Source organism: Homo sapiens, chromosome 2, assembly GCF_000001405.40.
Source record: "Homo sapiens chromosome 2, GRCh38.p14 Primary Assembly".
Lineage (NCBI taxonomy): Eukaryota > Metazoa > Chordata > Mammalia > Primates > Hominidae > Homo > Homo sapiens.
The window spans coordinates 242,155,876-242,161,875 of record NC_000002.12 but is presented as its reverse complement, the minus strand read 5'-3'; the positions used below and the strand labels follow the sequence as shown (position 1 = coordinate 242,161,875).

Here is a 6,000-nt window from a genome sequence, read left to right as displayed (position 1 = left end):
AGTGGCCACATAATACTCCCACCTCCTTGGCCTCCTCTCCCAGGAGGAGATAGCCTCCATCTTTCCACTCCTTAATCTGGGCTTGGCCATGTGACTTACACTGGCCAATGGGATATTAACAAGTCTGATGTGCACAGAGGCTGTAGAATGTGCACTGGGGCTTGGTCTCTCTTGCTGCCCTGGAGACCAGCTGCCCCACGAAGGAAACAGAGCCAACCTGCTGCTTCCTGGGGGGAGACAGTCCCTCAGTCCCTCTGTCTCTGCCAACCAGTTAACCTGCTGCTTCCTGGAGGAAGACAGTCCCTCAGTCCCTCTGTCTCTGCCAACCAGTTAACCTGCTGCTTCCTGGAGGAAGACAGTCCCTCTGTCCCTCTGTCTCTGCCAACCAGTTAACCTGCTGCTTCCTGGAGGAAGACAGTCCCTCAGTCCCTCTGTCTCTGCCAACCAGTTAACCTGCTGCTTCCTGGAGGAAGACAGTCCCTCTGTCCCTCTGTCTCTGCCAACCAGTTAACCTGCTGCTTCCTGGAGGAAGACAGTCCCTCAGTCCCTCTGTCTCTGCCAACCAGTTAACCTGCTGCTTCCTGGAGGAAGACAGCCCCTCTGTCCCTCTGTCTCTGCCAACCAGTTAACCTGCTGCTTCCTGGAGGAAGACAGTCCCTCTGTCCCTCTGTCTCTGCCAACCAGTTAACCTGCTGCTTCCTGGAGGAAGACAGTCACTCTGTCTCTGCCAACCCAGTTGACCGCAGACATGCAGGTCTGCTCAGGTAAGACCAGCACAGTCCCTGCCCTGTGAGCCAAACCAAATGGTCCAGCCACAGAATCGTGAGCAAATAAGTGATGCTTAAGTCACTAAGATTTGGGCAAAAGCTGAGCATTTATCCCAATCCCAATACTGTTTGTCCTTCTGTTTATCTGTCTGTCCTTCTCTGCTCATTTAAAATGCCCCCACTGCATCTAGTACATTTTTATAGGATCAGGGATCTGCTCTTGGATTTATGTCATGTTCCCACCTCGAGGCAGCTTTGTAAGCTTCTGAGCACTTCCCAATTCCGGGTGACTTCAGGCGCTGGGAGCCCTGTGCATCAGCTGCTGCTGTCTGTAGCTGAGTTCCTTCACCCCTCTGCTGTCCTCAGCTCCTTCGACCCTGGGCCTCAGGAAATCAATGTCATGCTGACATCACTCTAGATCTAAAACTTGGGTTCTTGGACCAGGTGCGGTGGCTCACATCTGTAATCCCAGCAATTTGGGAGGCCGAGGCGGGTGGATCACAAGGTCAGGAGATCAAGACGATCCTGGCTAACACGGTGAAACCCCGTCTCTACTAAAAATACAAAAAAATTAGCCGGGTTTGGTGGCAGGTGCCTGTAGCCCCAGCTACTCGGGAGGCTGAGGCAGGAGAATGGCGTGAACCTGGGAGGTGGAGCTTGCAGTGAGCCAAGATCACGCCACTGCACTCCAGACTGGGAGAGAGAGCGAGACTTTCTCAAAAAAAAAAAAAAAAACTTAGGTTCTTGGATGTTCGGGAAAGGGGGTTCTTTATCTAGGATCCTTGAAGCACCCCCAAGGGCATCTTCTCAAAGTTGGATGTGTGCATTTTCCTGAGAGGAAAGCTTTCCCACATTATTCAGCTTCTGAAAGGGTTACTTGACCCACAGATGTGAAGCTGAGGCTGAAGGAGACTGATGTGGTTTCTCCTCAGTTTCTCTGTGTGGCACCAGGTGGCAGCAGAGGTCAGCAAGGCAAACCCGAGCCCAGGGATGCGGGGTGGGGGCAGGTACATCCTCTCTTGAGCTACAGCAGATTAACTCTGTTCTGTTTCATTGTTGTTGTTTAGTTTGCTTTTTTTTCTCCAACTTTGTGCTTCATCAGGAAAAGCTTTGGATCACAATTCCCAGTGCTGAAGAAAAGGCCAAACTCTGGAAAAAATTTGAATATTTTGAGCCAAATGTGAGGACCACAACCTGTGAGAACGGAAAATAAATCCTGGGACCCCAGACTCACTAAGCCAAAGGGAAAAGCCAAGCTGGGAACTGGTTTATGCAAACCTGCTTCCCATCTGGTTCCTAAATAAGATAGCTATTACACAAAGACAAAAAAGCTACATCCCTGCCTCTACCTCCATCGCATGCAAAATGTGTATTCAGTGAACGCTGACCAAAGACAGAAGAATGCAACCATTTGCCTCTGATTTACCCACACCCATTTTTTCCACTTCTTCCCCTTTCCCCAATACCCGCACTTTTCCCCTTTACTTACTGAGGTCCCCAGACAACCTTTGGGAAAAGCACGGACCACAGTTTTTCCTGTGGTTCTCTGTTCTTTTCTCAGGTGTGTCCTTAACCTTGCAAATAGATTTCTTGAAATGATTGAGACTCACCTTGGTTGTGTTCTTTGATTAGTGCCTGTGACGCAGCTTCAGGAGGTCCTGAGAACGTGTGCACAGTTTAGTCGGCAGAAACTTAGGGAAATGTAAGACCACCATCAGCACATAGGAGTTCTGCATTGGTTTGGTCTGCATTGGTTTGGTCTGGAAGGAGGAAAATTCAAAGTAATGGGGCTTACAGGTCATAGATAGATTCAAAGATTTTCTGATTGTCAATTGGTTGAAAGAATTATTATCTACAGACCTGCTATCAATAGAAAGGAGAGTCTGGGTTAAGATAAGAGACTGTGGAGACCGTGCATAGTTGCTTCCTGATCAGCTCTTTATTTGATTGAGAGTGAGGCAGGGAAGATTAGAGGGAAGCTTACAGTGGAATTCAGGGCTGAGGCTGCTATTCTTTTGCTCCTTGTAACTTCCTACAGTGTTGTCAGCATCCACATACTTCTCTGTGGGGTTGGTCTCAGAGCCAGGTTACCTTGTCTTAGGTCCAGTGGCAGCCTGACTGGCTTGGTGTCCTTGAACAAGTTACCTAACCTCTCCATACCTCAGTCCCTCAGCTGTAAAATTTAAAAAAAAAAAAAAAAGAAGAAGAGTACCTACTGTATAGCATTGATTTGAAGATTGAATGAGCTGGTATTATACAACGTTTAGAAGCAGTGCCTGACACGCAAAAGGCTCTCAACAAATACTATCCTTTACTAATATCCTGTGTGTCTGTACCAGAGCTGGTGGGGTGGAGGGACAGAAAGAAGTGGGAGAAGGTAAAGAGATGGGCAAATGATCTCTAAAGTCTCTCTGGCACTAACACAATTCTTTATTATGTGTTTTGTCTGGCTCTTTATATTGATAGCTGTTCCAGAGGCAATCAATAGCTATTAGTCGGTTTTATTCTTATTTTTCTGTCTGATCTTACAGGGGAGCAAACTGTGGCAAAGCATGAACTTACTTCTCAGGAAATTAACCATTATATTGGCAATCACTGTGATTATTTGAACTTCAGCATCTGGACAAATTTAGTCACATGAAATACAGAAGAGAGATTTCTCATGGTTAAAACGAAGCTCTCTTTATTTGCTTCTGCTAATTAAAAAATCAGAGCTAAAGATACTTAAACACTACAGTTAAAATGCCATGGTTGTCTATTGGCTTAATGAATTCTCTTATGAAATCAACTCTAAAATGTTATCCATCATAAATCATGAAACACAATTTTTCTTATTCTCTTTAGAGCTTTACAATTCATCTTAAAGACCAGTGTTTACACTCTCTTCTGTAGGTTGTACAATAACCTTTGGCGAGAAAAAATAAAAGTCTGGCTTTCTGACTCATAGGTGTGTTCCCTTTAACAGAAAAAAGAAAATAAGTCCTCTTTAAAACTGATGATCATTGGTCACCTCAATTTTATTGAAGTTCACTTCTGACCTCCTTAGATGTAGTTCTCTACACAAAACTGCCCAAAAGAATTCTCTGTCTGAATGCCTCCTCCACAAACAAAATTTTAAGAACTAAAATCATCATCTTTCCTTCCAAATGTGCTCTCCCTATGTCCCCAGGGCTCTCCATGTGTAGAGCTGAGACCATGTGCCACTCAGTTTCCTCACCCAATTAATTACAAGTCCCAACAATTTTCCGTTTTTTTGTTGTTGTTGTTGTTTTTTTTTTTAGACGGAGTCTTGCTCTGTCACCAGGCTGGTGTGTGGTGGTGCAATCTCAGCTCACTGCAACCTCCGCTGCCTGGGTTCAAGCGATTCTCCTGCCTCAGCTTCCCAAGTAGCTGGGATTATAGGTGTGTGCCACTACATCCAGATAATTTTTGTATTTTTAGTAGAGAGGGGATTTCACCATATTGGCCCAGATGATCTCAATCTCTTGACCTCATGATCTGCCCACCTTGGCCTCCCAAAGTGCTGGGATTACAGGCGTGAGCCGCCATCCCTGGCCCAGTTTTGCCTTTTTAACATCCCTCAGCTTTTCAAATCCATTTTCTCTTCTCTAACACCTCCCCATTCCCCAGCTCGTAATGAACTCTTAAGTAGATTACTACAATCACCTCCCAAATGGTCTTCCTGGCTCCATCAGCCTTGTGACCTTCAAGTTCATTTTCCACATGGATGTCAGAGTAACTTTCTAAAATGAAAATCTGACCATGTTACTCTCTTGCCTAAATCCGCCTATGGCCGCTCTTAGGATCAAGTCTAAACTCCCGACCCTGGAACATCAGGTCTTCGTGCTCTGTTCACTGCTTCTCTACCTCACCTGCAACCAACACCACTCCCACATCCATATGCTGCTCACCGTGTATCAACATGAACAGGAGGTGGGTGTTTCAGTCCCCAGGAAGACACTGGGCCTTTTCAATCATCTACTGCTGTGTAATAACCACCCCGCAAACTGACCACATGATTTCATTTTGCAAGGGTTCCTTCCTTGGGCTGTGTTCAGCAAAAGGGTTTACTGAGCTGGCAGGTCCAAGATGGCCTCACTCACAGGACTGGCTGTTGATGGGAGCCTTGATGCTCTTGGGCTCACCCCTTATCCTCCAGTAGGTTAGAGCTTCTTACAGTGGTTTCAGGCAGCATCTGAAGACAGTAAAAGCAGAAGCTCCAAGGCTTCTTACATTCTAGCCTGGAAAATCACATCACATTGCTTCCTTCATATTTTTTTGGCAAATCAGGTTGCAAGGCTTGCCCAGATTAGGGTAAAGAGGCAAAGAGGCTCCTTTTCTTTTCTTTTCTTTTCTTTTCTTTTTTTTTTTTTTTGAGTCAGAATCTCGCTCTGTTGCCCAGGCTGGAGTGCAGTGGTGTGATCTAGGCTCACTGCAAGCTCTGCCTCCTGGGTTCACGCCATTCTCCTGCCTCAGGCTCCCAAGTAGCTGAGACTACAGGCACCTACCACCACGCCCGGCTAATTTTTTTTTTTTTTGTATTTTTTAGTAGAGACTGTGTTTCACTGTGTTAGCCAGGATGGTCTCCATCTCCTGACCTCATGATCCTTGCAAAGGGACATGCAGACCACATTAGTGAGAATATGTGCCTGTATTTTGCAATCTGTAACATGGGCATAAACTAAATGTTTTCCAAAGGGAATAGGGCAAAACAAAAAGGACCTTGACCACTCCTTGGCCCTGAATAAATCCAGGAAGCCTAAGAGTATGACTATCCTGAGGTAGAAAGAGGGTCACATGCTGGATAAGAGGTACCTGGGCTCTCCACTTACAAGAAGAGAGCATGGTTACATTTATAATCACCATTCCCAACATGCTGTGAGTGCAGGCAGCTACCAGGAGGAGAACAAAGGAAATAACCAGGACACTCATCTCTAAACCTGTTAATTTAATCACACGGAACACTTCTATTTAAAATTCCCGAGAGTTAAGATGTAAGAATGCTTATCAAGGTAAATGCTGTTCACACTGCTTGGAGTGTCAGGCCTAGATCTCTATCCATCAGAAACAACAATATCAATAACAACAACAGCAACATGATGATGGGGCAATTTCTTAAAAGCACCGTGTATTTTATCGATACATGTCCGTTGCAGAAAATCCAGGTGAATCCAAAGAAGAAATAAATGTCTTCCACAATCCCATAGCCCAGAGCTAACTAACCACTATAAAG

The 6,000-nt window shown here is 45.5% G+C and overlaps 1 long non-coding RNA gene across 4 annotated transcripts in view; it reads right to left on the bottom strand.

The window, feature by feature from the left end:
- Positions 1-1,372: 1,372 nt before the first annotated feature.
- Positions 1,373-6,000, bottom strand: part of LINC01881 (long intergenic non-protein coding RNA 1881) — a 71,871-nt gene continuing 67,243 nt past the window's right edge. For all 4 annotated transcript variants that reach the window (NR_130701.1, NR_130699.1, NR_130702.1 and 1 more), the window contains 2 exons: positions 2,378-2,527; positions 1,373-1,916 (listed from right to left, as the gene is read on the bottom strand). This is a non-coding gene — a long non-coding RNA (long intergenic non-protein coding RNA 1881). The remainder of the gene's footprint in view (positions 1,917-2,377; positions 2,528-6,000) is intronic.